This window comes from Homo sapiens, chromosome 11, assembly GCF_000001405.40.
Source record: "Homo sapiens chromosome 11, GRCh38.p14 Primary Assembly".
NCBI classification, from domain to species: Eukaryota; Metazoa; Chordata; class Mammalia; order Primates; family Hominidae; genus Homo; species Homo sapiens.
The window spans coordinates 75,312,745-75,340,147 of NC_000011.10; the positions used below are offsets into that span (position 1 = coordinate 75,312,745).

Consider the following 27,403-nt stretch of genomic DNA (forward strand, 5'->3'; position numbering starts at 1 on the left):
GAAGCATTGAAAGACAGACGAAAATCTACACTGCTGGCTTCAAAGCTGGAGGATGGGGCTGGGAGCCAAGGCATGCAGACAGCTTCTGGAAGCCAGCAGAGGCAAGGGAATGGATCCCCGCTAGAGTTTCCAGAGGACACAGCCCTGACAACCCATTTCAGGACTTTGGACCTCCAGAAGTGTAAAGAATATATTTGTGTTGTTTTAAGCCACTAAATATATGGTAATTTGTAACAGGAGTAATAGGAGACTAATACGACAGACATTCTTATTCCCATTCTGCGGACCAGGAAACTGAGGCTCACAGAAGGCTCATAACTCCCTCAGGCCAGGTGTGGTGGCTCACACCTGTAATCCCAGCACTTTGGGAGGCCAAGGCGGGCAGATCACTTGAGGTCAGGAGTTCGAAACCAACCTGGCCAACATGGTGAAACCCTGTTTCTGCTAAAAATACAAAAATTACGGGCGTGGTGGCTCTTGCCTGTAATCCCAGGTACTTGGGAGGCTGAGGCAGGAGAATTGCTTAAAGCTGGCAGGTGGAGGTTGCAGTGAGCTGAGATTGAGCCACTTCACTCCAGCCTGCGTGACAGAGTGAGACTCCATCTCAAAAAATAATAACAATTATAATAATAACTCCCTCAGGTCCTTCGGGAATCTCTATGGGCTCTTAAGGTTGGGGGCCCCTCAGCCAAGGCTTCAGGCTAGGGGGAGAGTCTGAGGAGGAGGCAGCGGTCTGCCACTGTAGGCTAAGGCTGAGGACAAGAGAGAGAACTGGAGAAGGTTAAGCTTTGTGCCTTATTACAGCTGGGCCCTTCCAGATCCCGTGACTAAGAACTGCCATGTCCTGACTGAGAAGCAGGGAGGCGTGTGACACACAGGAAGGGCCCTGGCTGTGCAGCTGGGATTGGCTGGCTGAGTGTTTGCCGGATTAACTGAGATGAAATGAAATCCCCTACTTAGCTCTTGGATCCTGATAAAACCCCTGTGAGGAAATTCCTTATCCCTCTGCATTACTGGTAAGGAAAATTGGTCCCCCGGGTTAGTGACTGGCCCAAGTTCTCCCAGCTAGTAAGCAGTGGAGTCTGGGTATTCATAATGAGCAACAGAAAAAGCATCACAGCCAGGCCTGATGGCTATTGAGTGCTTCTTACGTGCCTAACACTGCCTTAACAGTTGCAGGCATTTTCTCAGTCATTCCAGATGCAAACCTGATCACGTGCCTCCTCTGCCTAAAAACTCTTAACCGCTCCCAAGAGCTCTTCACAATCTGGCCTCTGTCCAGCCTCCAGCCTCCCTCCCACCATGCTCCCTGCCCCCACACACCCTCCAGCCACACTGACCTTGGTCAGTTCCCTGGAGCCACCAACTTCCTTCTCACTTCGGGGTCTCCCACAGGACTCCAGTCCCACCAGCCTGGGGCCCCACTAACACAGGGTGGAGAAACCATGGGTCCTGGCCACCTCTGCTCCCCATTGTGTGTAAGGAAGGGATAGGGCCAGGGGTCAGCCCACAATGGCAAGGGGCCTGGGAGGCTGGAGTCAAGAGGGCCCAAGTCAGCCAGTCATCTTCTTAGTAAAGATAACAGCAGACTGGATGCCGCAGGGCATGGTGGCACAGCTCCCAGGGATGCCCCCCCTCCAGCAGAAATGCAGACCCCAGGACACTGGAGCAGAGGGGGTTTGTGGAACACAAGGTGTCCCCTTAAGAGCATGCATGGCAACATGAGGCCCACAGAAGGGCAGGACTTGCTGCAGGCCCCAGAGTGTCACTCTGGGAGTCAGGTCAGAGCAATGGTTAAGGCTTTGGGATCTGCCACTCACTAGCTGGGTAACTGAACCTCTGACTCTCGTCTCTAACAACAGCACGTTTTTTTTTCTTTGAAAAAAAACTTTGTTGCCCAGGCTGGAGTGCAGTGGCACCATCACAGCTCACTGCAGCCTTGACCTCCCCAGGCTCAGGTGATCCTCCCACCTCAGCCTCCCAAGTATCTGGGACTACAGGCATGTGCCACACCACCACACCCAGCTCATTTTTGTATTTTTTGTAGCGATGGGGTTTCACCATGTTGCCCAGGCTGGTCTCAAACTCCTGACCTCAGGTGATCCACCCGCCTCGGCCTCCCAAAGTGCTAGGATTACAGGCGTGAGCCACCACGCCCAGCCAACAGTGCCTTTCTTCACTGATGCATGTGGAGCACCTGGTTCAGTGCCCGGTGAACAGAGAGGCCCGTGGTAGATGACAGCTGCTCTTTCCATTGAGAGAGCAGGGCCTGCACTCGGGACGCCTGGGTCCCAGTTAGTGCTGCTTCCACCACCACCACCACCACCCCACGCTGCGGGATGGGGGAGATCACCCGCTGTAGTGAATTTTAACAATTTCATGTTGCTTGGGCACCCACTCTGAGTATGTCAGACTTTCTCGTACCAGAAGCAGGGCTCAGTCACCCTTGACACAGCTTCCAGTGCTCGGCCTCCTCCCAGTTCCTCAATGTGATCCATCCAGGTATCTGCCTTATGCAACCTCCTCCTGGTGACCACCTCGCTATGGGACAGCCAGACAGAAGCCACCTAACTTGCCCATTGACCCCCACACCCACATGGGCTACATGGATTTGCCGCAGTGACCCCCCTCAGTCACCATGCCTTATGCCTGCTTGCTCTAATCCCAGCAATTATATTTACCCACAGAAACTGCGTGGGTAACATCTTGCACCCCAACAAAGCCTCCAGTCCACAGGTCCTCCCATCTCTCTCTTGCTCCAACTCACTGGCTAAGCACGGGGTCCCAGGCAGCTTCCCGCTGCCCTCCCCTCTGTGAGTAATACTCTGCTTCTGTTATTTCCTGGGTTTTGCTGGCTACTTCCTCAGTGTCTCACCTGACCACGTACTCTCCTAGAGAGTGGTTTTCTTGGTAGGAATAAACGGACACAGGTCAGAAAAGAGCCACAAGGCGCCTTCCACTATAAGCCAGTTTCCTGTGAGAGAGACACCTGGTCACGGCTGGATACTTAGGCATCAGACCATCCACCAGGATAAAGAAGCATCTCATGAAAGGCACACTGTGGACCCCCACAAACACCTGCCCTGGAACTCCGTCAGCAGGGCTAGAATTTATAGCCATTCTCAGAGAGAGACCTCAAGACCAAATTAGAGGAAAATACACTCACGCCACCCCTACTCTATGATATAGCTGGGTGGGTTTAATTAACCCCTCAGGTGGGACCCAAACAGGGAGGACACCTGGAGAGGTGGCACTCAGCTGTTTCTGGAGCCTCTGCTTCTGGGCCTCAAAGCTGGTTACAGGTGGGGTGCCGTGGCTCATGCCTGTAATCCCAGCACTTTAGGAGGCCGAGGCAGACAGATCACCTGAGATCAGGAGTTCAAGACCAGGCTGGCCAACATGGTGAAACCCCGTCTCTACAAAAATACAAAAATTAGCCAGGCATGATGGCGGGTGCCTGTAATCCCAGCTACTTGGGAGGCTGAGGCGGGAGAATTGCTTGAACCCGGGAGGCAGAGGTTGCAGTGAGCCAAGATTGCACCATTGCACTCCAGCCTGGGTGACAGAGTGAGACTCTGTCAAAAAAAAAAAAAAAGTGCTGGTTATGTCCTTATCTCCTCTGGTCATCTATAGAAAAGAGGTGATCGGCTTCGTTTTCCTTACAATTAAAGGAAGGGGCCAGCACTGCCCCAGCAGAGTGAGCCTAGGCTAGAGGAACTCCTAATTCAAAACTGAGCTCCCTACTTGCAAACCGACAGAAGGGAAAGAGGAATGGACTATTCACTGAGCACTTCCAGCGGGTGGGTGTCATGGGAACCTGCCATGAAACATCTCGCTTAAACCCCACAACAGCACAACGAGAGGGGCTAGGCAGTAGTCCAGTCCCATTTTGCCAGGCACGATGGCTCACCCCTGTAATCCCAGCAACTCAGAAGACACAGGCAGGAGAATCATTTAAGGACAGGAGGTCAAGACCAGCCTAGGCAAGACAGTGAGACTTATCTCTTTAAAAAAATTTTTTTTTAATTAAAAAAAATAATAGGCCAGGTGCAGTGGCTCACGCCTGTAATCCCAGCACTTTGGGAGGCTGAGGTGGGCAGATCATGAGGTCAGGAGTTTGAGACCAGCCTGGGCAATATGGTGAAACCCCATCTCTACTAATAATACAAAAATTAGCCATGTGTAGTGGCGCGTACCTGTAGTCCCAGCTACTCGGGAGACTGAGGCAGAAGAATCGTTTGAACCCGGTAGGTGGAGGTTGCAGTCAGCCGAGATCGAGCTACTACTGCCCTCCAGCCTGGGCAACAGAGCGAGACTCCGTCTCAAAATAATAATAATAATAATCCCATTTTGCTTACATGAAGCTAAGGTTCCCAGAGGTAAAACAACTTAACTTGTGGCACTGGCTGGCAAAGTCATTCTCCTCCACTGTGTCAGGTGGCCTCTGGGTAACGGCCCCATTTCCATTCTAAATGGCTACAGTCTAGGGTCTTTTTGAAGGAAAGGAACCCAGATCAGGAAGATGAGGCCCCCAAAGCAGCCTCTCACCCACCCTTAGCCCCTATGGCCCATCTCCTCCCTCCAGGTGCTCTCCCCTCCCATCAGCCTACCCCAGAGGCTGGTTATTAACTTCTGTGAAAATAACACATAGCAGTGCTGCTGCCTCCCCCAACCCCCGACGGCATCCTCACCCCCACACCCGGTTCACAGCCACTCCTTCTCTGAGTTTTGCTCCTTTGGCACTTCCAAAGCCTTTAGTGAGCTGCAACTAGGTCAGATCCCCCCATCAGACAATCTCCTGTGCCTGCACTTTTCCCTCGGAGCACATTTCACAGTGTGCATCTCTTGCCGTCTGTCTACCTGCTCCAGACCATAAGCCCCATTAAGCCAAGGACATGTCTGTTTTGCTGCCATGGTATCCCCAGGGGTGTGCACCGCACTGGCACCCAGCCTCAGAGTCACTCCACACTCGCCTGTGCCAGGCCCTGTGCTAAGAGCTGTGCTTAGGCATCACACTTAACCCCCATCAGTGCTCCAGCAGAGTGAGAATGATCATCCGGCTGCACAGATGAGGACAGCGAGACTCTGAAAGGTGAAGTGACTTCCTAGAGGTTACCCCCTAGCCTGGGTCACGGCAGGGACCAGCACCGAGGACTAGCTACATAATTTGTGGGCCCCGGTGCAAACTGAAAATGTGCTCAGATGTCAAGACAAAGTCCTGACTCGAAGTCAAAGCCAGGCTCCACCCACCGAGACGCTTAGGTCCCCTAAGGCAGTGGGTCTCACACTTGAGCTGGGGTCACAATCACTGGAAGGGCTTGTTAAAAAACAGGTTGCTGGGGCCCAGTCCTAGAGTTCTGATTCAGTGGATGTGATGTCGGCCTGGGAATAAGCATTTCTAACTTTTTTTTTTTTTTTTTTTTTTTTTTTGAGAGAGAGAGAGATTGGATCTCACTCTGTTGCCTCAGCTGGAGTACAGCACAATCATAGCTCACTGCAGCCTCAAACTCCTGGACTCAAACAATCCTCCAGCTTCAGCCTCCTGAGTAACTGAGACTACAGGAACATGCCTGGCTAATTTTTTTATTATTATTTGTGGAGACAAGGTCTCACTATGTTGCCCAGGCTAGTCCTGAACTCCTGGGCTCAAAAGATCTCCCCATGGCTGGGCACGGTGGCTCATGCCGATAATCCCAGAACTTTGGGAGGCCGAGGTGGGCGGGGCACCTGAGGTCAGGAGTTCGAGACCAGCCTGGCCAACATGGTGAAACCCCATCTCTACTAAAAATACAAAAATTAGCTGGGCATGGTGGCATGCACCTTTAATCCCAGCTACTCAGGAGGCTGAGGCAGGAGAATTGCTTGAACCTGGTAGGCGGAGGTGGCAGTGAGCTGAGATCACGCCACTGCACCCTAGCCTGGGCAACAGAGTGAGACTCTGTCTCAAAAAAAAAAAGCAAGAGAGATCCTCCCGCCTCAGCCTCCCAAAGCACTGGCACTGGGATTATAGGAGTGAGCCACTGCGCCCAACATAACTGTTGCATTTCTAAAGGGGATGCTGATCCTGTGGCCCACAGACACTGAGAACTGGGCTGTCAGGGCTGAGGATGTCCAGGATCCTTCAAACAATAGTCAGGCCCTCAGTCCAAATGGCCAGCCCTACTAAGAAGGAGAGGAGCACATGGGAGTAGGGGCAGAAGGAAAGGAGGAAAAAGAAAAACTTTACACAAGTTTCCTTGTTTGATTTTCATAACAATCTTGCCAGGTAGGTTCTATTATCTTTATTATAGAAACAACTGTAGCACACAGAAGTCAATAATTTACCCCGGGTCCCAGCCAGGAAATTACGGAGACCAGAACTGAACCTGGTTCTATCTATGTTAGGTAGCTAGAACCTGCTTGAACCACAGCTGGCTCCAACAGGTTCAAACCCCATAACCTGCTCGCCCAGGGGAGCAGAGCCCAAGCCTCAGGAGGGAAGGATTAGCACAGCCTCAAGCCCTGGGGAGCCCTGGCAAGCCCCCAGGATCCTCCCCTTCCACTGCCTGCGTGCTCTCCAAGCCCAGGCCCGCAGCACAGAGACCCGGGACCAGGTGAGGGGGCCAATCACTGGTGCCACTCCAGGAGGCCAGGGTGCCCATGCCCAGATGAAAGGTTCCTCACACATGTCCTAAGTGCCAGATCTGACCACACTGTTTCAGACTTTGCACAGGCTGCTCCTGCCTGGAATGCCCTTCCCACCCTGCCTCTCTGTCCAACTCTTACTCATCCTTCAAAATGCAGTTGGGCTCTGGGAAGTGTTCCCTCAGCACCTTGTCCGTCCTCACTGCTCCATCAGGTCACCCTGCGATTTCCTGGCTGCTCCTCCAGCCATTCACTGCACAAAAATTTAATAAGCATCTGCCCTGCCCCAGGCACAGTGCAAGGTGCTAAGGCTACAAGGCCGAGGTTGGGCTCTGTCAGGCCAGGATGTACGCTGGTTTCATCCCTGTGAAGCTCTGTAAGCCAGGAGGAGCAGACAGGGAAAGGGACCGTAAGGGTCCCCAGGGGGACCCCTTGGGGTTTGAAAAATTAGAAGTACTCAAATTCTACATTCCAGGCCACTTGCCTAGGTGGTGGGGTGGAGGGTAGCCCCCACCCAGTGCTTCCAGGCCTGGAGTAAAGATGCTTGGCAAAGCAGCACAAAACTCCTACCAAACAAATACGAAGCATGCTATGTACCTCTGTGTCAAGAGGCCCAGTTGGCTGTGAACTCCCCAGGAAACCGAAGCCCCATCGGGGACAGGGATGAGACCAAAGTCCCCCCCAGAGCAGGAGGCAGCCCTGGAGTGGTCCTGCAGCCTCTTCTCCCAGGAGATTTGGGCTTCAACAGAGGAGGAAGAGAAGAGGTGAGGTGCCCCCATCCTGAAGGATTTGCCTACAGACCCTCCACTGGTGAAGAGGGCATTAAGGGTGCACCCTGGGAAGCCACAGCCCACAGAAGCCCCAGGCCGGAGAGGATGGCTGCTGCCTGCCCAAGGTGGGGAGGGGGCTGGAGTGGAGCCAGGCTGGCGGAGGAAACATCTTGATCAGCAAGCAGGAGGAAAGGAGGAGGAATGAGAAAGGAGGAAAGAGCCAGACATGCAAACTCCTCCGCCTCCTCCTTCCAACCAAAACAGAATCCCCAGCAGACTGAGACCTGTGGAGAAGGAGGCGGGAAAGAAGCTGAGGCCTCCAAGGGCGGGTGGCTGGATGGTGGCCCTGAGGCTGGAGCCTCTGAAAGCTTGGGGGGCTGGATAGCCCCACCAGAGATGGGGAGGGATCAGTCATCAGGGCCTGCTCAGCTCTGTTCCCGCAAGGGCTGAAGGCTCCAGGAGGAAGAGGCCATGGGCTCCACATGGTAACTCCGATTCCTCCTTCGAGACCCCACTCAAGTACCCAACTCTTCCCAAAGCCCTCAGACCTGACCTCAGCTGGGCTGGCTCCAGCACCGCACAAACTCAAAAACATTGTAGAGTAAAATTCATCCTAGTCTCTGGAAAGCCTGGAATCTGCTAGGAAACCCAAGGAACCCAGAAGAGGAAGTGCCAGCACAGAGATGGCCCTGGACTCCCAGACCACTGGGCGCTGGGACACACTTCATTTCCATTCGCAAAGCCTTCATGGGGGCCTTTTCCTCTGGTGGGACAGGAGGCTGGGATGAGGAGACAGGAGGGGCCATGGGAGCTGAGCAATAGGGAGACATCATCTTTGCCCCTCTGCCCTCAACACAACACACGTGCACAGACACACACATACACTCACTAGTGGGGGCTAAGAGGCTCCCAGGGACCTATGTGTCTTGGACAAATCCTTTGACTTCTCTTGTTCTCTGTTTTCCCTCACCTGCACACCTGCTTTCCTGCCCTCCTTCCTTTCAGGAGAGGCACAAGGTAAAGTTTAGGCCTCCAGGTAGGTAAGAACAAAGGCCTCTGGTATGACCTCAGCACGTGGAAGAAAATCCCACCCCACGTGGAAGAAAATCCCACCCCATTCCTGCTCACCCCCCCCCACCACCATCCCCCCACCTCTTCCTCAGGACTCTATTATGGCAGAGTGAGCCTGGGAGGCAGAAGCTGTGGTCAGGAAAGTAGGCAGCCAGGCTTGGAGCCCAAGGGGAGAGTGACCACCAAAGTAACCCATCTCCTGTCCAGGGCCTTTTCTCTCCTTCTTCTCTCCCTGCTGGCGGAAACCACCTTCCTTACACACATGCTCACCACCATTTGAGAGAGGCTTTATGGGATGACTTTAGTCTGTGTTTTCCTTACAGCCCTCATCTGAGTTACTTGAAGCTGCTGGAATTTAGGGGTCCTTCTTTCATTCACTTTTTTATCCTAGTGAACTGGTCTGCCTTGGTTGGAACCGGCTAGAGGGCATCAGTCAAGTGACCTCCCCTCACTCAACTTGTTTCTTCATCTGTAAAATGGGATGATAGCAGTGCCCACCCCATCAGGTTGTTCTGAGGATTAAGTGAGTGTAGTGTCTGGCACCTAGTAATACACATTAGATCTTCTTATGAATATTCAACAGAATTTATTGAGCACCTATTGTGTGTCAGATGCTGTTGGCCATCAGACATATGGTGAATAGGGCAGATTTGGGCAAAGGGCCCTGTCTACATAAAGCTTCCCGTCTGGCCAGGGAAACTGCAGGGCTCTGCACTACACAACTCCTTTGGTTACCATGACACAGATCACAGTGCAAACAGAACACAGAGCGTTCCTACAAGCAGGTAACACAGCAGCCCTGCAAGACAGGCATCATACAAACAAGTATATGGTGACTCTCACAATAAATGCTATAAAGTGGAGGGCTCCAAGAGCCCAGGATGGGCACAGACCAGCCTAAGGAGTCAGGGAAGTCTTCCCCAAGAAAGTGACATCCGGGCTAAGAGTTGAAGAAGCAGCAGTACTAACTCCAAAAGGGACAAGGGCTGGGGTGCTGAACTGGGGCAAAACAAAACCAAACCTACCAGCCAGACGCCTGTTATCCCAGCACTTTGGGAGGTTGAGGCAGATGGATCACCTGAGGTCAGGAGTTCGAGACCAGTCTGGCCAACATGGCAAAACCCTGTCTTTACTAAAAATACAAAAACTAGCCAGGCATGGTGGCACATGCCTGTAATCCCAGCTACTTGGGATTCTGAGGCAGGAGAATCGCTTGTACCCAGGAGGCAGAGGTTGCAATGAGCCAAGATCATGCCACTGCACTCCAGCCTGGGCAACAGAGCAAGACTCCATCTCAAAAAACAAAACAACAACAACAAAAAACACCAAACCTACTATGGGAGGGTTCTAGGGGAAGACAGGGGAATCACTGAAGGTACAAGGCCAGCAGGGACATGGGGGCAGGGCCTGGTCACCAGAAGGCCAGATCAGAAGTGTGGATATTACTCTGTCACCGTGATAAGATGTTGGTGGGGTTTCAGCAGATAATTGACACAATGCAGTCATGCTTTAGTACGTTCACTTTGGCTGCTGGGAGGCGAATGGAAGGGCAGAGAGACTGGAGTGGAAGCAGAGAGACCAGTTAGGAGGCAGATTCAACTAGACTGCTCTGGGTTCAAATCCTAGATCTGCCGTTTATTAGATGGGAAACCTCTCAGGGTCTCAGTTTTCCCTTCTGTAAAATGGAGATTACAACAGTGTCTACTTCCTGGGTTGTTGTGAGGATTAAATGAGCAACTTTACGCATGTAAAGAACTTGGAACAATACCTGGACCACAGGAAGTGCTGTATGTTTTGCTGATATTATTCATCTGGGTCAGAAATGAGGGTGGCCCAGATTAGGGAGGTAGCAATGAGAGAGAAAGAGAAAACTGGACAGATTCAGAGATAAAATCAATAGGTCTTGCTCCAAGCAACCAGCTGCTCCAGCCCACCTTGTGCCACCTGCAGCCATCAGAGAGACCCTAAGCCAGAACTGCCCAGCGGAGCTCTTCCCAAACTCCTGACCTACAGAAACCACAGTCCATAACAAAATGAATGTTGTTGTTTTGAGCCACTAAGTTTTTGGGTGATTTGTTATGTAGCAAAAGATAAATGGAACAACCCTCATTGAAATGTACCTAGAGGGGCCGGGCGTGGTGGCTCACGCCTGTAATCCCAGCACTTTGGGAGGCCGAGGCGGGTGGATCACTTGCGGTCAGGAGCTGGAGACCAACCTGTCCAACATGGTAAAATCCTCATCTCTACTAAAAATACAAAAATTAGCCAGGCGTGGTGGTGCATGCCTGTAGTCCCAGCTACTCGGGAGGCTGAGGCATGAGAATTGCTTGAACCCAGGAGACGAAGATTGCAGTGAGCCCAGATCACGCCACTGCACTCCAGCCTGGGCAACAAGAGCAAGACTCCGTCTCAAAACAAAAAAGAAAAAAATAAGTGTACCTGGAGAGGAAACCTTCTCTCCCCCCATGAGCAAGAAGGGAAGCAGCTGAGCAGGAAGGAAGCGGAAAGGTGTGCAGGGAAGATGGGAGGGGCTGAGAGCCAAGCCTGGGACCTCTGAGCCACCCAGGGTCCAGGCTCTGCCTTCAGGAAGTGACGGGATAGCTCCAAAGCTAATCATTTCAGCACTATTTACAAAACCAAACACCTGGAAATAATGTAAATACCAAAGAAGGGGCTGGTTAAACTGTAGGGCACCCACATGAGGAACAATCATTAACGAATCGAGATACTACGAGTTAATAGCATAGGAGATACTGAAGAAAAAAAAACGTATTCAAAATTTTACATACAGTTTAATCACAATGGAGCTTGAATACACAAACACATGCATGCACACACACACAGCAAGAAGCACAAACACCAAAAAGTGTTAGAAATGTTGTTTCTAAATGATGAAATTCTGGATGATTGCTCTCTTCTCCTTGTCTAATGTGGAGGGTTTTGTTGTTGCTTAAATAATTACTGAAAGATAACTGTTAGTTCTTTCAAGCCCTCAGAACTCAGGCTGTGTGCCCGCGCCCTCCCCCCAGGTCTAGGGGAACATAGCACCAGCATCAGTTGCTCCATGAGGGCAGGGATTCTTGCCTGCTTCCTTTACTGCTGGGACAGCGCCTAGCACACAGCAGGCTGGCTGAGCACTTCCTGGTGAATGAATGAATGAATGGTCTTTATCTGCCCGTGCGAAGCTCCTCTGAGTCCACAGCAGCCGCCCTCGTCAGCCTCAGGTAGGGATGAGGTCTGGCCCCACTCCATGTCCTCAGGGTTCAGAACAGGGCCTGGCACCGAGGAGGCACTAGCAAGGGCCGTGAATGAACGAAGGGCTGAATAAATGAACATCCTACCCAAAGAAGCCCTCCCTGATCACCGTTGCCGAGCCCTGGAGGCCTGGGGAGTGTGCGTGTGGGTGTGGGTGTGGAATAGGGGGCAGCAAGAATGGAAACATACCTGGGTCTTCTGAGAACCCAGAGAGCCTGTGCACCTGACTCCAACTCCACCTGCCTCCTCGGGCCCCTTCCCTTTCTGCTGCGACTTTGCCTGTTTGGTCCCCTTCTGAGACCACAGAAAAGTTCTGGAAGGTTCTAACTGCTACGTCTACACTCAAAGTGTAGCTGTTTTTAAAAGGAGAAGAGAGCAAGGCCCTTCCTAGACTTTTCTGCCTCTCTAACCACCCCCACCCCTGTCCCTGGGAGAAACCTCTGGGAGGGAAGCCAGCACATGGGGACCCAGGGCTGGTGGCTGGCGTGAGGTGAGGCAGGGAGGGATGCAGGTGTCAGAGACTCAGGCAGGGCTGGGCGGGAGGGCCTTGGGGTAGAGACCTGAAGAAAACCCTGTGGAAGGAAATGGCAGAGAACGTATGCTGGTTGTCAGGGTTGGAGAAAGGACTACATGGTGCAGGGGTGACAACTGAGGCTGGCAGTGGGGGAGGTGCCAACATGGAGAGATTGACCGTAAGGAGGACCAGCAGTGGAATCAGATTGTTTTTGTCCAGGAGAAGTGAGGTCAGACTGAGCCTGAATGGCTACCAGAGGGGTGGGGCAGGAATCCCCCGACCCTCACCCCAGCCCCTACTCTGGCTGCCCAGAATGCCAGCCCAAAAAAGGCAGTTTACTTTGTTTTTGTTTTTGTTTTTCAACAGGGTCTCTCGTTCTGTCACCCAGGCTGGAGTGCAGTGGCACAATCTCAGCTCACTGCAACCTCCGCCTCCTGGGTTCAAGCGATTCTCGTGCCTCAGCCTCCTGAGTAGCTGGGATTACAGGCATGTACCACCACATCCAGCTAACTTTTGTATTTTTAGTAGAGACAGGAGTTTCACCATGTTGGCCAGGCTGGTCTCAAACTCCTGACCTCAAGTGATCTACCTGCCTCAGCCTCCCAAAGTGTTGGGATTATAGGCGTGAGCCACCATGCCTGGCCCAGTTTACTTTTTATAAAATAAATCTCAACAGGCATGACACTTTAAGCCCATCCAAAATATAGACTAGTGAACTCTGCGGCTCATGCTAAGAACAGGTAGGGGCTGAGGCCACCAAAGCCGCTCCCCAAACCAGGCTTGGCCATTACCTTCCAGGCACCCCCAGGCATGCCCCAGCCTCTCTCTGGACCTCACTAACCTTGTGCGTAAAGGGACCTCTGAGATCCCTTCTGGACCTCACGCCCAGGGCTCTCTGGTCTGACCCTGCCAGTGCTCAAAGCAAAAGCCCCAGGCCCAACTCGGGCCGGCTGACTCAGAGGCTTGGAGGTTAGAAAACAGAAGAATCTCAGAGCTCAGCCAGGCTGACCTCTCCCATGACAGGTAGGGAAACTAAGGCCTAGGATCTTTCCTAAGGTCCCCTCAAACCTAGGGCACCAGCTCCCAAGCCTAGGGCATTTTCTAATGCCTTGAAGGAGCTCTGCAGGGTCCCAGGGGAGGTGGTGCCTGCTCAGGCAGCTCTGGAGAAGCAGGAGGTGATGAAGAATTTTCATTAACAGCCAAGGCTCCAGGCTGGGAGGAGGAGGGTGCTGCCGGAGGATGTGCGAGAGCTCCTGAGAGAGGCACTGAGTCATGCTTGCAGCTGCGTCCCCAGAAAGCAGCCCAGGGCCTGGCACAGCGTGGGTGTGCAGTAAATGAACAAATAAATAAAAATGTGAATGAGTGATAACAACAGCAGCTAACACGTAGTACTTACTTTGTGCCAAGCACTTTACAAATATTAACTCATTTAATCCTAATGGAAACATTAAGATTCCCATAACAAAAGATGAAGATTCTCATAATAAAAATTTTGTTATTCCTCTTTTATAGACAGGGAAACTGAAACAGAGAGAGGTTAAATAACCTGCCCAAGGCCACACAGCTTGGGCAGTGTGGGAAGTCTGGCAGTCAACCTTGGTCTTAACCACTCTGCCTCCCACTCAGCACCCTTACCTGCCACAGCCTCTCTCCCACACACCGTCTCCAGCAGTCTCACCCTAACGCCCATGTCTCATCGCAACCCCATCCCCTCTTACTACACACTGCCTTTTTAAAATTACTGTCTTTTTTTTTTTTTTTTTTTGAGACAGGGTGTCACTCCAGCCCAGGCTAGAGTGCAGGGCTGCAATCATGGCTCACTACAGCTTCAACCTCCTACCTCAGCCTCTCGAGTAGCTGGGACTACAGGCATGCCCCACCACACCCATGCCTAATTTTTGTATTTTTAGTAGAGATAGAGTTTTGCCATGTTGCCCAGGCTCATCTCAAAGGCCTGAGCTCAAGTGATCTGCCCATCTTGGCCTCACAAAATGCTGGGATTACAGGCATGAGCCACCATGCCCAGACTCTTGTTATTTTTAAGAATAATTTTGTGCTGGGCGTGGTGGCTCACGCCTGTAATCCCAACACTTTGGGAGGCCGAGGCGGGCGGGTCACGAGGTCAGGAGATCAAGACCACGGTGAAACCCTGTCTCTACTAAAAATACAAAAAATTAGCTGGGCGCAGTGGCGGGTGCCTGTAGTCCCAGCTACTCGGGAGGCTGAGGCAGGAGAATGGCGTGAACCCAAAAGGCGGAGCTTGCAGTGAGCCGAGATGGCGCCACTGCACTCCAGCCTGGGTGACAGAGCGAAACTCCATCTCAAAAAAAAAAAAAAAAAAAAAAGAATAATTGTATAAAATGTATTTTTTTGAAACAGAGTCTCACTAGGTTGCCGAGGATGATCTCTAACTCCTGGACTCAAGCAATCCTCCTGTCTCAGCCTTCCAAAGTGCTGGGATTACAGGTGCGAACCACATCAACCAGCAGAAAAAATAATTTATTGAGGTGGGTGCAGTGGTTCATGCCTGTAATCCCAGCATTTTAGGAGGCCAAGACAGGAGGATCACTTGAGCTCAGGAGTTTGTTTATTTTTTTGTTTTGTTTTGTTTTTTGTTTTTGTTTTTTTTTTTTGAGTCTTGCTCTTGTCGCCCAGGCTAGAGTGCAGTGGCGTGATCTCGGCTTACTGCAACCTCTGCCTCCTGGGTTCAAGCGATTCTCCTGCCTCAGCCTCCTAAGTAGCTGGGATTACAGGCGTTCACCACCACACCATACTAATTGTTGTAATTTTAGTAGAGACGGGGTTTCGCCATGTTGGCCAGGCTGGTCTCGAACTCCTGACCTCAGGTGATCTGCCCACCTTGGCCTCCCAGTGCTGGGATTACAAGCATGAGCCATTGCGCCTGGGTGAGCTCAGGAGTTTGACAGCAGCCTGGGCAATGCAGCAAGACCCTGTCTCTACAAATAAATAAATAAAAATAAAATAAATACATAAAGTGAACAATTCAGTGGCATTTAGTCCATTCACAACGTTGTGCAAAACCGCCACTTCTATCTAGATCCAACGCATTTCCATCACTCCAAAGTAAAACCCCTTACTCACTATGTAGTCTCTCCCCATTCTTTCCTCTCTCCAACCCCTGGCAACTACCAGTGTCTGCTTTCTGTCTCTATGGATTTCTCTATTCTGGATATTTCATACAAGTTGACTCATACTATAGGTGACCTCTTGTGTCTGGCTTTTTTCATTTCACGTAAGGTTTGCAAGGTTCGTCCACTTTATAGCATGGATCAGTATTTCATTCCTTCTCATGGGTGAATAATGTTGTACAGCATGGATATACCACCATTTGTTTATCCATTCATCTGCAGATGGGCATTTAGGCTGTCTGTTCCCACTTTTTGGCTATTGTGAATAGTCAGTTGCTGCCTGTTCCTCCTCCCTAAAACCCTGTGAATGAGGACAGTTGTTCATCCCCATTCCCCAGAAGACAACATTGAGGTTCATTTGTGATACAGATGGTGACTTGAACTGAAGCCCCTGCCGCCCAAATGAAAGTGCCCTTCTTACATCCTTGTCTCCCACCAGCCATTCACCCATCCCAAGTGTCATGCCTTCCCTGGGCATCTGTTACCACATTCTGGGCTCTGTGCCAACTGCTGGCCACCTGGTGTGGACAGCTCAGGCCAAGTCCCAGACTCTACTATAGTCTGAAGCTGCAGAGGCCTGGAGGCTGCAGTCTCACCCTCTGGGATGGGCTCCTGTCCAGCCAAGGAGTCCCAGGATCCAGGGCCAGGGGCCAGGCATACCACATCCAAGATGCGTATAGACAGGAGTGCCCTGCTCCTGCCCTCCCTGGATCCCAGTATTCCTCAATGCACAGAGGAAGATGGCCCCCAGCAGATGGCTCCAGAGATCTGCACAGCAAAACCATTGAGTGGAACGGGAACGGCTGGGCTGAGAGGGCCGTCAGAAAACACTGAACTCAGAGCCCTGAAGAGAGTGGGGCAGCCAGTAAGGGTTTCCCATGCAAATTGGTCACTGCACCTCTCAAATGTAAACACACTAGAAACAGCACTTCGCTGGGACCATTCCTTCCTGCTGTGTAACTTTTTTTTTTTTTTTTTTTTTTTGAGACAAGTTCTTGCTCTGTCACCCAGGCTGACATGCAGTAACAATTACGGCTCACAGGGCTCACTGCAGCCTCAACATCCTGTGTTCAACTGATCCTCCCACCTCAGCCGCCTGAGTAGCTGGAACTATAGGCACGCACCACCATGTCTAGCTAATTTTTTGTATTTTTTATAGAGATGGAGGGTCTCACCATGTTGCTCAGGCTGGCCTGGAACTCCTGGGCTCAAGTGATCCTCCTGCCTTGGCCTCCCAAAGTGCTGGAATTACAGGTGTGAGCCACTGAACCTTGCTGCTGTGTAACCTTGAGCCAAACCTTCTCTGAGCCATCTCTGCCTAAAAGCAGGGTTCAGGGATCTAGAATTCCAGATTCTAGGGTGGGAGGAGTGGGTTGTCCTTGCAGAGCCCCTCCTGTTAAAGACTACATCCACTCAAGCTGTCTCTTTGTGTAAGATGGTGTGACTATGACCACTACGCGGACCACTGCCTTCCTGGCCTTTCACGAAACCACCTTCTGCCACACATTAGCCTGTTAATGGGACCATCCTCAGAGGGTTTCTGACATTCCATGTGGGGACGAACAGTCACAATAATCACTACTGGCTGGGCACTGTGGTGCATGCCTGTAATCCCAGTGCTTTGGGAGATCAAGGTGGGAGGATTGCTTGAGCCCAAGAGTTTGAGACCAGCCTGGGCAACATAGTAAGACTCCATCTCTACAAAAAATTTTAAAATCTACCCAGGCATGGTAGCACATACCTGTGCTACAAGTCTCAGCTACTTGAAAAGCTGATGCAGGAGGATCACTTGACCCCAGGAGTTCGAGGCTGCAGTGAGATGTGATTGCACCACTGCACTCTAGCCTGAATGACAAGACTGAGACCCTGTCTCTAAAAAAAAAAAAAGTCACTACTGCCTCTCAGACTCCCTTTCACACATGACAGAGGCCTGACAAATTTGCACTGAATGAATAAATGAACGAACGAACAATCTGTCACTCATTTCCCAACTTCTAGCCTCTCTCTTCTAGTCTATTTACCTACACAGCTGCCACGTGAACCTTCAGATCCTGCTGCTCCTGCAAGCTGTGTGTTCAGACAAATTGCTGAACTTAGCTGAGCCTTCAATTCCTCAACTACAAACAGGGACTCTACTTGGGTAATTAGGAAGATTGAAAGAAAGCATAAGCACAGCATCTCAAGGGCTAAGGAGGAGTCCAGGAAAAGCTGTTGAAGGAAAGCTGTTTCTCCCCACCCCACCCCATAACACCCCACACCACCCTGATCCTCTAATCTCTCTGTTCCAAAGGCTGCAGGAAAGAGCCCAGCCCCTGGGCTGGCCCCTGGCTATATGTAAATGTTTATGCCAAGCCCAGCCTCCTAAGGACAAGTTATTTGCTTTGCTTGTAATTAATTGCAGAAGGCCTGCCTGGGTAATAAACTCTGCCGAAGAAATATAAACAGTTTGCACAGAGCTTCAAATCCATTGTGAGGCCAAGAGAAAGGGTCTGCTAGGAATGGAATGTTCTCCCCAGTCTTCCTCTAAGCTGGAGGCAGAGAGATCACTGAAGGTCAGAACTGAGAGGACCCTTGGAAATCATTTGAAAAATAGCACCTGGCATCATGACCTTGTTCCAGGCCCGGCTGAGCACTTGCTTTATATGGTACAGCTATTTTCCCATTCTAAAGATGAAGAAACTGAAGCTGAATGAAAGTGGCAGGGAACTTTCCCCAACTAGAAGGCAGCTGGGCTGAAAGTTGAATCTGGCTGGACTTTAGAGAAAAAGAAAGACAGCCATTCATTCAACAAAAATATCCCGTGTCCCCCGTGCCAGACACTGGTACCTGGTGACACAGCTCCTGCAGCACTTGCATTCCAGCAGGGAGAGGCATATTTCAGATGTTGAGGACTAAAATCTGATTTTTATTTTTTGAGGCGGAGTCTCGCTCTGTCGCCCAGTGGCGCGATCTCGGCTTACCGCAACCTCCGCCTCCCAGGTTCAAGCAATTCTGCCTCAGCCTCCCAAGTAGCTGGGATTACAAGCGCCTGCCACCACGCCTGGCTAATTTTTTGGTATTTTTAGTAGAGACAGGGTTTCACCATGTTGGCCAGGCTGGTTTTGAACTCTTGACCTCAAGTGATCCGTCCGCCTAGGCCTCCCAAAGTGCTGGGATTACAGGGGTGACCCACCATGCCTGGCCATGTCTGATTTTTTTTTTTACCTTGCCCAAATTCCTGTCTAAGGGGTCTGGGGAGTCATCTTCTACAAACCATGAATTCTCATTGTCAGGCCTCTGAGCCCAAGCTAAGACATCACAGCCCCCGTGACCTGCACGTATACATCCAGATGGCCTGAAGTAACTGAAGAATGACAAAAGAAGTGAAAATGGCCTGTTCCTGCCTTAACTGATGCCTTTATCTTGTGAAATTCCTTCTCCTGGCTCATCCTGGCTCAAAAGCTCCCCCGCTGAACACCTTGTGACCCCCACCCCTGCCCGCCAGAGAACAACCCCCTTTTGACTGTAATTTTCCTTTACCTACGCAAATCTTATAAAACGGCCCCACCCCTATCCCCCTCCACTGACTCTCTTTTCGGACTCAGCCCGCCTGCACCCAGGTGAAATAAACAGCCTTGTTGCTCACACAAAGCCTGTTTGGTGGTCTCTTCACACGGACTCGAGTGAAACTCATCAGTTGGGTTTTATGTAACCCTACATGTCGTGACTTACTTTCCAGTCTGACTCTGGCATAACATTACTGTAAGGCTTCTGAGCTCAAGCCCGCAGGTATACATCCGGATGGCCTGAGGCAACTGAAGAACCACAAAAGAAGTGAAAATGGCCGGTTCCTGCCTTAACTGATGACATTACCTTGTGACATTCCTTCTCCTGGACAATAAGTCTCCGGAGCTCCCCACTGAGCACCTTTTGACCCCCGCCCCTACCCGCAAGAGAACAACCCCCTTTAACTGTAATTTTCCACTACCTACCCAAAATCCTGTAAAACTGCCCCACCCCTATCTCTCTCTCTTTGCTGATTCCTTTTTCAGACTCAGTCTACCTGCACCCAGGTGATTAAAAAGCTTTATTGTTCACACAAAGCCTGTTTGGTGGTCTCTTCACAGGGATGTGTGTGACAATTGCGAGATAAGGAAGAAAATCAGAATATTTTATCCCAAAACGTGTTTCTCTGCCATATCTTGAAATGGCCCTGCAAAGCCATCCTTAGTGGGGGAAAATCTGCGTCTGTAAACATAGCTAGATCTTTTTCTTCGAGGCCCTCCCAATCCTGATGAGAATGACTAAAAGTCTAGCACCTTTTAAAGGTCTGAATAGGAAACATTTGTCATCTATTTTCTCTAAGGGCAGCCACCATTAGACTTCAAAAGAACTTTCGTCTCCACAATCTTTTATCTTAACCTGAACATTTCCTTTCTAAGGATCCCAAGTCTTTAGACAAACTCAACCACCTGTCAACCAGAAAATGTTTAAGTTTACCTATAGCTGGCCAGGCGCGGTGGCTCACGCCTGTAATCCCAGCACTTTGGGAGGCCGAGGCAGGCTGATCATGAGGTCAGGAGTTCGAGACCAGCCTGGCCAATATGGTGAAACCCCGTCTCAACTAAAAATACAAAAATTAGCCAGGTGTGGTCAGGCGCACCTGTAGTCCCAGCTACTCAGGAGGCTGAGGCAGGAGAATCACTTGAACCCGGGAGGCGGAGGTTGCAGTAAGCTGAGATCGCGCCACTGCACTCTGGCCTGGGCGACAGAGTGAGACTCCATCTCAAAAAAAAAAATGTACCTATAGCCTGGAAGCTCCCCCCAACCCCTGCCCACCGCTTTGAGTTGTCCCACCTTTCTGAACCAAACCAATGTATTCCTTAAATGTATTTGATTGATGTCTCATGCCTCCTAAAATATATAAAACCAAGTTGTACCCCGACCACCTTGGGCACATGTTCTCAAGACCTCCTGAGGGCTGTGTCACAGGCCACGGTCACTCATATTTGGCTCAGAATAAATATCTTCAAATATTTTACAGAGTTTGACTCAACAACGCTCACCAAATTGATTACAGCAGGTGCTAAGTGCTCTGAAGAAAAAAACAAAGCCACTTGTCAAGAAGGGCAGAGCCACAGTTGTGGGTGGCCATTCAAGCTCTGCAGGGCAGAAACCATACAGTAAGTGCTCTGGCAGGAGCACACAGTAGGTGTGTTGTAAGCAGGTTTCCAGCTAAAACTTAACACTGTTTTCTTTGGGCCCAGTGCAGCTTCTTGCCAACCAGTTCAGGGTGTATTGAAGGCATTGTGCCAGGGCTGGGGAATAGAATGATTGGTGAACAAAAATCAGTCCTTGCCACCACGGAGCCCACACCCAACTGGGGGCACAGACAAACGGGGAAGTGTAAAAGAGAAGTTGATGAGGGTCATGGGGCAGGAGAGGGACAATCAGCATGTATTGAGCACCTACTGTGTACCAGGCACTGTGTTAAGCCATGCATTATCTCATTTAAGCCTTACCACAACCCTATGGGGGTGAGGAGAGGATTTTATTACCCCCATTTTAAAGATGACAAAACCAAGGTTCAGAAAGATTATGTAACCGTCTCTAGGTCACAGGCATAACAAGCAGTAGGGGTGGGATCTGAAACCTAGCCGGACATCATGTTTGTTCTTCGAAGCCCTCCCCACAGCCACCTGTCTTAGGGAAGCACAGAAGGCAAGACATTGCTGCCAACAAACTCCGCTTCCCTGACTCTGCAGAGGGATGCACCGCACCCTGCCAGCCTGGCTTCCTTTCTGAGCAGGAAAGGTCAGCTCGGCCTGCCCTGGCAGCTCCCCTCAGGCACCAGACCAGCCAGACTCCTGACCCAGTCCCAGGAGCAGGAAAGGCCTGTCCAGACTTCTACTCTGCCCCACTCCCACAGAAGGTCCCATCCCAGGCCGGGCGCGGTGGCTCACGCTTGTAATCCCAGCACTTTGGGAGGCCCAGGTGGGCAGACCACAAGGTCAGAAGTTCAAGACCAGCCTGACCAACATGGTGAAACCTCATCTATACTAAAAATACAAAAATTAGCTGGGCGTGGTGGCATGTGCCTATTATCCCAGCTACTCAAGGCAGGAGAGTTGCTTGAACCCGGGCTGAGATAGCACCACTGCACTCCAGCCTGGGTGACAGGGCAAGACTCCGTCTCAAACAAAAAAAAAAAAAAAAAAAAGGCCCCATCCCGGTTACAACAGCCCCTTCCCAGGCAAGCCGTGCTCCACAGTTTATAACCACTTTCACCCTCTTGATTCGTCTGACCACCTCACCCCAGCAGCTTGTATCCCAGAGCCTAATACCAGGCCTGGCACACAGCAGGTTAATTTGACAGACAGCAGGACAGACTATCCCAATGAAAGGCATGGGCTCCCCTGAGCCATCTCCATCCAGCTTTCATCAGCATTTCCTGAGCTCCCAGGACAAGCCTGGGGCTAGACCAGGCAGTTTCACCTATGGTTCATTATTTTAACCTTTCCAGGAAGGTCTTATCTCCATTTTGCAGAAGAGGAAGATTGAAGTCAGAGAAGCCTTTCCAGTCTCTAATTTACATGGCAAGTGAAGCTGCAGGTTCAGCCTGCCCCAGAACTGGCTCCCCTGGATGCCTTTCAGGTGTTGCTTCTGTAGGGAGGGCTCTAACCTATGACAGATCTCTGCTGTGGGATGAGAGCCCCCTGAGGACATGCAGCAGATGTGGCACCAACATCCTAGCCCAAACGAAAACTTGCCACAGCAGGGCAGAGCTGGGCTTGGGCGCCTAAAGCTTACAGAGCTTGGAAGGTTTTTTTTTTGTTTGTTTGTTTGTTTTAAAAAAAAAAGAGTACAAAAATAATTTCCTTTTGCAAATTTCACAAAACCCCTGAGCACATGGACACATTGCTAGGCCTTGGAAAGGGCCCTGGAGCGTGAAGGGCTGGAAGCTGAAGCTGCATCAGCCTCATGGTGAATCCGCCTCGGGGCTGGAGGAAGGGCCCAGAGGCGATCTGAGCACCACCCGCCTTCACAAAGGCCCTGCCTCCAGCCCAACAGACAGATGAGGCTCCGGAAGACATTCCTTCTTCTTGATGGGAGTCCCGCTGCTACTTAACCCTCCCTGCAGTAGGTCCAAGTCTGTCTGTCTTTCTCTTGCCATGGTTTCAGAAGAAGCAGATCTTGGCCGGACGTGGTAGCTCACACCTGTAATCCCAGCACTTTGGGAGGCTGAGACGGGAGGATTGCTCGAGCCCAGGAGTTCAAGACCAGCCTGGGCAATGTAGCAAAACCACATCTGTACAAAAAATTTAAAAATTAGCCTGGGATGGTGGCGAACACCTGTGGTCCCAGCTACTCAGGAGGCTGAGGAGGAAAGATTGTGTGAGCCCAGGAAGTCAAGGCTATAGTGAGCTATGATCACACTACTGCACTCCAGGCTGGGCAACAGAGCCAGGCCCTGTCCCTGTCTCAAAAAAAAAAGAAGCAGAGCTCAGCTGAGTCTCGGACCTGCCTGCGGAGGTCTGCTGCTCACAAGGGCAGCACTGCCAGATTTCTTTGTGATCCTGGGGCACAACCCCAAGAGGAGCCTTCCATGCCTGGGCTGGAATCCTGGGCCTGGAATCCTGGGCTGGCAAGGGCTGCCCTATTAAGAACCCCATCCTCAAACATTTGTAGGGTATGATACAGTTTACCAAATGTTCCCACATCCCACATCCACATCCCGTTTGGCCCACACGACAGTCCTGGAGGTGAGCAGGGCAAGCTTTATTGTCCCCCTTTTATAGACGGGGACAAAACATGAGACTTGCTGTGCACCTATTGCATACTAAAGATGCCAAGGGGCTTTCCACACGTGACAACTCACAGATACCCTGTGAGAAACCAAGGCTCACTCAGTGTCTGGGGCTGGGCCTGAGAATGAGCCTGCAGCCCTGCTCTCCCATCTCGCAGCCCGTGCCTCTGCCCTGTCTCATCTCAGTCTGGCATGGACAGCTCAGAAGGCAGTGGGCAGGCACGCTGAGACTCAGTAGGTTGAGGAAGAAGAGGCCTCCAGCTACCAAGGCGGAAGAGTAGCTGAGGGCTCAATATATTTAATAGAAATCAAAAAAGTGAGAATCAACCGTGCCCTCTCTGGATGTGTCTGAGGAAGAGCACATGGCCCTTGGGAGCCTGAAACCTGTTTGAAAGCAGTCACCTTACAGACTCAGGGCCTGATGTCCTCCCCACACCCTGCCAAGCTGCAGATGGCCCCACCCCTACCTCCCACTGTCCACATGCTAGGCCTTCCAGACCCTTCTGCTGACTCCTCTCAGCGCCCAAGGCAGCCACCCAGTGCTTGCCCTGGCCTGTTCAAGTCCTACTCCTGTCCTTCACTAATGCTTGCTTAATTCGTGGATATACCTACTCTACGAATCTTTATGAGAAGATACTGTAGGGTGACCCACAGTCCTGATTTGCCCAGGAGTGAGCTGAGGGGTTTCCTGAGATGCGAGACTGAGACTGTCCCAGGAAAATTGGGATGGCTGACGACCCTCATGTACTGCATGCCTGGTCCCTGGGCTGGGTGCCAAGGACACATTTATCTACCAAACATAGTCACTGCCCTCAAGAAACTTCCAGTCGGAGAGTGGCTGCCACTCAATGAGAAACCACTGTCAAAGGCACCTGTTCAGCCCCTCACACACATGATCCATCACCACCCTATGAGGGGAATATTATCACCTCCGTGGTATGCATAAGAAAACTAGGGCTCAGAAAGGTGGCACAATGTGCCCAGAGTCAGAGTTACAAGTGACCTGCTAAGATTTGAACTTGATCCAATGAAACAGAAAAAGGGCAGTTTCCAGCATGAACATTATGGAGATAGAAAAAGATAGACATGTTTTATTTAATTCATTTTGTAGCTCCAGTGTCTGGCATGTTCTAGGTATTCAGGAAATGCGTGAAGGGAGAGAGGGAGATCTAAGCCTTATTTAATTATCTCCAGGCTAGGAGATTCCATCCCTCAATTCAAAAGCCATACATTTCCCTTTTCAAAGTCAGTTTCAGACCAGGCACAGTGGCTCACACCTATAATCCCAACACTATGGGAGGCTGAGGCAGAAGGATCTCTTGAGCCCAGGAGTTTGAGACCAGCCTGAGCAACACAGTGAGACCCCATCTCCACAAAAAATCTTCGAGGCTGCAGTGAGCTATGATCGTGCCACTGCACTCCAGTCTGGATGACACAGCAAGATCCTATCTCAAAGGAAAAACAGAAAAGGAAAAAAAAAGTTTTGACTGTTTTCCTTCAGCACGAGGACCAGGAAGGAAGTAAGAAGAGGGAAAGGGTGCTTTTTCTTTAAGTCAGCAGCTCGGGGCTCACTTCCTCCAGGGAATCTTCCCTGACTCACTCCCTAACCCAAGTCTGGCCCCACACTGTGCCAGGCCCCAGTCAGGAGCTGGGAGTCCAAGAGACAAGAGATACACATTTGCCCTCGAGCAGAGAGGGAACTGACTTGTTAGCAGTCAACTACAATGTAAAGTGCCATCCGGGAAGCCTGCACAGTGCTAAGGGAGCCTGGAAGAGGCCATTCACTCTACCTGGGCAGGGAGCAGTCAAGGGAGGGCTTCATGTCTACAGCAGGTGCCCTGTGCAGTTGTTCAATGAATTTCATTGAAATGTCTTTTTTTTTTTTTTTTTTTTTTTTTTTTTTTGAGACGGAGATTCACTCCTGTTGCCCAGGCTGGAGTGCAATGGTGCTCAAGTGATCCGCCTGCCTCGGCCTCCCAAAGTGCTGGGATTAAGGGTGTGAGCCACCGCACCCAGGCTAAAATGTTTTTAAGTTCAACCTGAAAATATAAGGAATATTTCACCAGAGGAAGAAGGGCATTCCAGCTAAAGAGATCGGCTTGAGCAAAGGCACAGAGGCGTGAAAAGTACAAAGACTGTTGAGGAAGATCCAAAAAAGTCAATGCAGCCAGGTTGTTAGCAGTGTGGTGGGGACAGCTGGGAAAGGAGTGTGGAAGGGACATTAGAGACAGATCCTGAAGGGCCTCCAGTGCCACCTAGAGAATGGGGACTTTCCCATAGGACATGGGGAGCAGTGGATCAGGCCTTAGGCTGGGAAGAATGACCAGATGTGAATTTCAGAATAACAGGATGGCTTGGAGGGTTGGGACTGAGCAGAAAGACAGCAACTAGAAGACAATTGTAATGATCCAGGCCAGGAGTGGGGCTTGACCTGAGCCAGTGGCGGTAGAATGAGGAGAACAGTACTTTGGGAGCCATGTCTCTATCACCATTCAGTTTGGATCCCCTGAACTGGGGCTGCCCACAGGAAGGCATGGTTTTCTCTTCTCCAGGGAGCTCAGCACACCCCCATCCAGGTCTACACTCAAATGGAAGTTGAGGCCAGAGCCTCAGTGTACAGAAACTCAGGTCTTTCTGTACACTGGGTCAGGGCTCAGTGTGGGGCCAGGTCATGGTTCTTTGAAAGTTCTCCCTACTACAAAGTTTACTCTGCAAATGGTGAACATCAGAGGTGGCTGAATTGTTTCAAGTATGCACAGTGAATCACTGCTGTACTGAATCGCTGCTGTGGAACAGTCAGCGCAGGGAGAAACGACAACGCATATTAATCACTTGATTATGATGTGTAATCATTTTTGTCATTTTTAGAATGTCAAAAAAATCTGTTGCAAAAAAAAATCTCCTTATTGAGTTTTAAAACGTCTGTAGGTTTCTCCCAGTACCCTGGGGCAATAGAGACCCATCATAACATCAACCAGTGATGAGCCCTGCTAATGTGCTGGGTGCTTTAATTAGCACAGCTGTAACCGAGAAAGGATGAACACATTATCTCCAGAGGCTGGAAAACTTGCCTACAGACATGCAATTACTGGTAAAGGGGAGGGGAGAACCCCAGCCTGCTGCCTCCTCTCCACCACTCCACGTGGCCTCAGTGTGCCCAAAGATAGCCCTCCAATCTGTAGAGACCAGCGCACATGGCCCCTGGCTGCCAGCCCCAAAGCCTGGAGCTGTTTCTCCTAAGACATAGTTTCTCAACTGTCTCATGCCCATGGGCTCCTCTGGGAAGAGCCATCAGATCTCTGCAGTGTCTCCTGGGCTAGAGGGAAGCTTTCCTCTCCATACCCTCAGGACAGTAGACCCTGGTTTCCAATGGCAGGTTTGCTGAGCCCAGTGTCTCCTGATATACCCACCCCATTTTCTTTCTCCAGGCAGAAACACTTACTGTGATGCCCTGTGGCAGAACTTTCACTTTTCACCCTAGTTTTTTTGTCCTCAAGCAGTCTGCATTCCCAAGACACTCCTTACTGACAGCAGATGAAACCAGTGCCTGACACTATGCCGGCACATAGTAGGTTTCTCAAGTCTGCTGAAGGAAGTCAGTCCTGGATGAAAACACATGTCACAGAGATACTGCCAGGAAGAGTACTACCTCTGGCTCACACAAACGCACTTTCCAACCAGGTCGTGAGTCCCTACTTCTGGGGAGCTGCCTCTGATCCTTAACCTCTGGCCCTGTTTTGTCCCTGCTATAAACAGATGCCCACTACCCCTCTTCTGGCAGCTGTTGAGATCATCTATTTCCTCTCTCCCAATACATCTGAGCAGCATGAGGGCAGAGACTTGTCTGGGTCCTCTTCATATTTCAGGTGCCCAGCACAGGGCCCGGGGTGTGGCACAGAGAGAAAGCTTTGTTCCTTGGAACCTCCTCAGGAGGGCAGCGATGGCCTAACAGAAACGATATAAGCTAACCCTGAAAACTCCTAGCCCGAGGCCCGGGGAGATAGTGTTCCATGTCATGAGGTTTCTTGCCACCCAGAACCTGGGAAGGCCAGGCCCTCAACTTCGGAGAAAGGGCAGCCTCAGGCGGGAGGCAGAGCAGAGCTGCTCCATAAATCCCCTTCCCACTCGGAGAGAGACACACCACTGGGACAGGCCCGGCCACTTCGGGACATGCCTTGAGTGGAGGGAGAAATGTTTGTGGAATTGAATGGAACAAACTGTAAAATGCTAGCTA

General features: G+C 50.9%; 1 protein-coding gene and 1 non-coding gene across 5 annotated transcripts in view, besides 13 other annotated features; both read right to left on the reverse strand.

Moving 5' to 3' along the window:
- ARRB1 (arrestin beta 1) overlaps window positions 1-27,403 on the reverse strand; it is a 91,540-nt gene that overhangs the window by 52,623 nt on the left and 11,514 nt on the right. The window lies entirely within an intron of this gene.
- Window positions 895-1,811: an enhancer, noted in NCBI's record as "H3K27ac-H3K4me1 hESC enhancer chr11:75024683-75025599 (GRCh37/hg19 assembly coordinates)". NCBI's record gives its function as "activates a minimal SCP1, AML or CMV promoter by ChIP-STARR-seq in naive H9 embryonic stem cells {active_cell/tissue: H9 hESC(naive)}" and the evidence as "EXISTENCE:reporter gene assay evidence [ECO:0000049][PMID:30033119]".
- Window positions 1,447-1,616: a silencer, noted in NCBI's record as "fragment chr11:75025235-75025404 (GRCh37/hg19 assembly coordinates)". NCBI's record gives its function as "represses an EF-1alpha promoter that drives an FKBP-Casp9 reporter gene in an ReSE screen in K562 erythroleukemia cells {active_cell/tissue: K562}" and the evidence as "EXISTENCE:reporter gene assay evidence [ECO:0000049][PMID:32094911]".
- Window positions 10,106-10,732: an enhancer, noted in NCBI's record as "H3K27ac-H3K4me1 hESC enhancer chr11:75033894-75034520 (GRCh37/hg19 assembly coordinates)". NCBI's record gives its function as "activates a minimal SCP1, AML or CMV promoter by ChIP-STARR-seq in primed H9 embryonic stem cells {active_cell/tissue: H9 hESC(primed)}" and the evidence as "EXISTENCE:reporter gene assay evidence [ECO:0000049][PMID:30033119]".
- Window positions 11,985-12,610: an enhancer, noted in NCBI's record as "H3K27ac-H3K4me1 hESC enhancer chr11:75035773-75036398 (GRCh37/hg19 assembly coordinates)". NCBI's record gives its function as "activates a minimal SCP1, AML or CMV promoter by ChIP-STARR-seq in naive H9 embryonic stem cells {active_cell/tissue: H9 hESC(naive)}" and the evidence as "EXISTENCE:reporter gene assay evidence [ECO:0000049][PMID:30033119]".
- Window positions 13,283-13,814: an enhancer, noted in NCBI's record as "H3K27ac-H3K4me1 hESC enhancer chr11:75037071-75037602 (GRCh37/hg19 assembly coordinates)". NCBI's record gives its function as "activates a minimal SCP1, AML or CMV promoter by ChIP-STARR-seq in naive H9 embryonic stem cells {active_cell/tissue: H9 hESC(naive)}" and the evidence as "EXISTENCE:reporter gene assay evidence [ECO:0000049][PMID:30033119]".
- Window positions 13,815-14,347: an enhancer, noted in NCBI's record as "H3K27ac-H3K4me1 hESC enhancer chr11:75037603-75038135 (GRCh37/hg19 assembly coordinates)". NCBI's record gives its function as "activates a minimal SCP1, AML or CMV promoter by ChIP-STARR-seq in naive H9 embryonic stem cells {active_cell/tissue: H9 hESC(naive)}" and the evidence as "EXISTENCE:reporter gene assay evidence [ECO:0000049][PMID:30033119]".
- Window positions 16,544-16,633: an enhancer, noted in NCBI's record as "active region_5264". NCBI's record gives its function as "activates an Ori minimal core promoter by ATAC-STARR-seq in GM12878 lymphoblastoid cells {active_cell/tissue: GM12878}" and the evidence as "EXISTENCE:reporter gene assay evidence [ECO:0000049][PMID:35858748]".
- Window positions 18,207-18,740: an enhancer, noted in NCBI's record as "OCT4-NANOG-H3K27ac-H3K4me1 hESC enhancer chr11:75041995-75042528 (GRCh37/hg19 assembly coordinates)". NCBI's record gives its function as "activates a minimal SCP1, AML or CMV promoter by ChIP-STARR-seq in naive H9 embryonic stem cells {active_cell/tissue: H9 hESC(naive)}" and the evidence as "EXISTENCE:reporter gene assay evidence [ECO:0000049][PMID:30033119]".
- Window positions 18,741-19,274: an enhancer, noted in NCBI's record as "OCT4-NANOG-H3K27ac-H3K4me1 hESC enhancer chr11:75042529-75043062 (GRCh37/hg19 assembly coordinates)". NCBI's record gives its function as "activates a minimal SCP1, AML or CMV promoter by ChIP-STARR-seq in naive and primed H9 embryonic stem cells {active_cell/tissue: H9 hESC(naive and primed)}" and the evidence as "EXISTENCE:reporter gene assay evidence [ECO:0000049][PMID:30033119]".
- Window positions 19,275-19,808: an enhancer, noted in NCBI's record as "NANOG-H3K27ac-H3K4me1 hESC enhancer chr11:75043063-75043596 (GRCh37/hg19 assembly coordinates)". NCBI's record gives its function as "activates a minimal SCP1, AML or CMV promoter by ChIP-STARR-seq in primed H9 embryonic stem cells {active_cell/tissue: H9 hESC(primed)}" and the evidence as "EXISTENCE:reporter gene assay evidence [ECO:0000049][PMID:30033119]".
- Window positions 20,344-20,877: an enhancer, noted in NCBI's record as "NANOG-H3K27ac-H3K4me1 hESC enhancer chr11:75044132-75044665 (GRCh37/hg19 assembly coordinates)". NCBI's record gives its function as "activates a minimal SCP1, AML or CMV promoter by ChIP-STARR-seq in naive H9 embryonic stem cells {active_cell/tissue: H9 hESC(naive)}" and the evidence as "EXISTENCE:reporter gene assay evidence [ECO:0000049][PMID:30033119]".
- Window positions 21,946-22,480: an enhancer, noted in NCBI's record as "NANOG-H3K27ac-H3K4me1 hESC enhancer chr11:75045734-75046268 (GRCh37/hg19 assembly coordinates)". NCBI's record gives its function as "activates a minimal SCP1, AML or CMV promoter by ChIP-STARR-seq in naive H9 embryonic stem cells {active_cell/tissue: H9 hESC(naive)}" and the evidence as "EXISTENCE:reporter gene assay evidence [ECO:0000049][PMID:30033119]".
- On the reverse strand, window positions 22,348-22,442 carry MIR326 (microRNA 326). Its single transcript, NR_029891.1, has one exon. It is a non-coding gene; the product is annotated as a microRNA 326 (primary transcript).
- Window positions 22,481-23,014: an enhancer, noted in NCBI's record as "NANOG-H3K27ac-H3K4me1 hESC enhancer chr11:75046269-75046802 (GRCh37/hg19 assembly coordinates)". NCBI's record gives its function as "activates a minimal SCP1, AML or CMV promoter by ChIP-STARR-seq in naive H9 embryonic stem cells {active_cell/tissue: H9 hESC(naive)}" and the evidence as "EXISTENCE:reporter gene assay evidence [ECO:0000049][PMID:30033119]".